At 39.9% G+C, this 2,942-nt stretch overlaps 1 annotated feature.

The window, feature by feature from the left end:
- Positions 1,753-2,273: an enhancer, noted in NCBI's record as "OCT4-NANOG hESC enhancer chr18:30159089-30159609 (GRCh37/hg19 assembly coordinates)". NCBI's record gives its function as "activates a minimal SCP1, AML or CMV promoter by ChIP-STARR-seq in primed H9 embryonic stem cells {active_cell/tissue: H9 hESC(primed)}" and the evidence as "EXISTENCE:reporter gene assay evidence [ECO:0000049][PMID:30033119]".

A 2,942-nucleotide genomic window follows, 5' to 3' on the forward strand; every position in this document is an offset into this window, starting at 1 on the left:
CCTTCTTCCTCCCTCTTTTCTGTATTTTCAATTGTTCCCTCTTAATTGACACATTCCTTGCAGACCCAGATATACTAAAATATCAACTCATTTAGAATATCCTTGCAATCCTAAATATCCTCCCACTTTCTAGTTAGCAGGTGCTCTGTTTTCTTCCCCTCACAACCATACTCCTCTACTGGATGGTAAAACTCAGTTGTTGAATCCCATCTACACTCAAGTCTCCCAGCTCCTGCCTCGTGTTAGGCACTGATCATTTTATACTATTATACTTTATATACCTTGTCTCCAGTTATATTGATACAAAGTTTCAATTGCTGGTTAAGTGATCTTTACAATAGATGTAACAGATAAGAACTGCGTTAATGACAGATGCTGGCAATAAAGGGTGTTAAACAAACAAAAAGCTTTAATGGTGATAAATTTTGTAGGAGTAAATAAAAAGAGCTCACTTGATTTGTGGCTCTCCTTTATCAGGTCTCTAGGGGTAGCCTTTTCTGCATGGGGCTGCTACAGCTTATTTTGATCTATGGTCTTTCTAAGCATTTCATTTTTGGCATTCCAAAGATGACCATCTTGGGAAGGCTGAAACTGACTGCTATGTACTAACTAGTTAAAAAGCAACCTTCTGAATGATTAAGCAATACAATACCACTTCATTTTGGTAAGAGGAAAAAAGTGGTTATAATTATTGTCCTTTAAAATACAAAGTCAACATTGTCATTATTCCTGGAACATAGTTGGCACTCACTGTATGTTTATAAATTGTGGAATGGTGATTGATCGACAGCGACTCTCTCAATTCCTACTTGTTTATTCATGCGTTGATTTGATTATTCAAGGAGTATTGAGTGCTCAATATGTGACAGATGTTGAATCAAACATTAAGCGGATAATAGTAAACATGCTAAACATAGTTGTGGTCCTCAGAGGCCAACATTCTGATGGTTGAAACAGATGACTGATAGGTAATTATCATGCAGTGAGGTGAGTTCTATGACGGTGGAAGGGCAGAGGCTCTGGGAATACTTGGAAAAGTCTCTTAACTTGGATGGGGGTGTTGGGAGATCAAGAAAGGCTTCCTGGAAGAAGTAGTATCTACACCGAAACGTGGATAAGGAGTAGAAAATAGCCATTTAGATTTAATTAGGAATGACAGTCACCAAAGTGTTATTATGGCTTTGAGTCATAAGGCACCTACTGAAAGCTTTTGAGATGAAGCCAGCCATAGGAAGAGAAGATTGTATAGGAAATGTTCAACGTCATATTTTGCGAGAAGTCAGGGACTCCAAACGGAGGGACCAGCTGAAGCCACGGCAGAAGAACATAAATTGTGAAGATTTCATGGACATTTATTAGTTCCCCAAATTAATACTTTTATAATTTCTTACGCCTGTCTTTACTGCAGTCTCTGAACATAAATTGTGAAGATTTCATGGACATTTATCACTTCCCCAATTAATACTCTTATAATTTCCTATGCCTGTCTTTACTTTAATCTCTTAATCCCATCATCTTCGTAAACTGAGGATGTATGTCGCCTTAGGACCCGGTGATTATTGCGTTGTCTGTACAAATTGTTTGTAAAACATGTGTGTTTGAATGATATGAAATCTGGGCATCCTGAAAAAGAATAAGATAACAGCGATTTTCAGGGAACAAGGGAGATAACCATAAGGTCTGACTGCCTGCGGGGCCGGGCAGAACAGCGTCATATTTCTCTTCTTGCAGAAAGCAAATAGGAGAAATATCACTGAATCCTTTTCTCAGCAAGGAATAACCCTGGGGAAGGAATACATTTCCAGGGATGGGTCTATGGACAGCCACTCTGGGAGTGTCTGTCTTATGTGGTTGAAGATGAGGGATGAAATACGCCCTGGTCTCCTGAAGTGCCCTCAGGCTTGCTAGGATTAGGAAATTCCAGCCTGGCAAATTCTAGTCAGACTGGTTGTCTGCTCTCGAACCCTGTTGCCTGTTAAGATGTTTATCAAGACAATACGTGCCCAGCGGGACATGGAACCTCATCAGTATTCTAATTTTGCCCTGGCCTTGTGATCTTGCTCTGCCCTTCTGCCCTTGTGATCTTTGAAGCATGGGATCTTTGTGACTTACTCCCTGTTCATACCCCACTCCCCTTTTGAAATCCTTAATAAAAACTTGCTGGTTTTGCAGCTCAGGGGGCATCATGGAATCTGCCGATATGTGATGTCACCCCCAGAGGCCCAGCTGTAAAATTTCTCTCTTTGTACCCTTTCTCTTTATTTCTCAGACTGGCCGACACTTAAGGAAAATAGAAAGAACCTATGTTGAAATATTGGGGGCTGGTTCCCCTGATAATCATAAGTGATGATGAATATTGGTTTTAATATTAGCACTTTGGAAACATAAATAAATTTATGAACTATTTTTTAAAAAATTAACTGCTGAGAATATGAGTAAAAAATGCACCTTTTTACAAACATCCCTGAATGAGATTGTCTTCTCTTTTATGCATATAATTTGTGAATTAAAAGTTTCATTGATCTGATTTAAACAGGTCAGAATTATTCACTGAATGAGCAAGTACTGTCTTGTCCATCTCCTCAACATTTCTCAGATCTGTAAGTCTTACCTCTCTCCATTTCATCCTTTAAAGTTTTCCCTTAGAACCCTCAGTGTCTACCAGGAGACACTCTCAAGTGGTCACAGGAGGAAGGGGCATAAAGTATCATCATGACATAGCTCCACCAGTTTTTTGTCTCCGCACTCCACACACCCTCCAGCATACTTACAGCCTACCAAAAATTTCATGTTCTTTCCTTTCATCTTTCTTTCATGTTTTTGTAGAGATGGGGGTCTTGGTATGTTCCCCAGGGTGGTCTTGAACTCCTAGGCTCAAGGGATCCTCCTTCCTCAGCCTCCCAGGTAGCTGGAACTACAGGTACATACCACTATGTCTGGCT

The sequence above is a fragment of the Homo sapiens genome, chromosome 18 (assembly GCF_000001405.40).
Source record: "Homo sapiens chromosome 18, GRCh38.p14 Primary Assembly".
NCBI classification, from domain to species: Eukaryota; Metazoa; Chordata; class Mammalia; order Primates; family Hominidae; genus Homo; species Homo sapiens.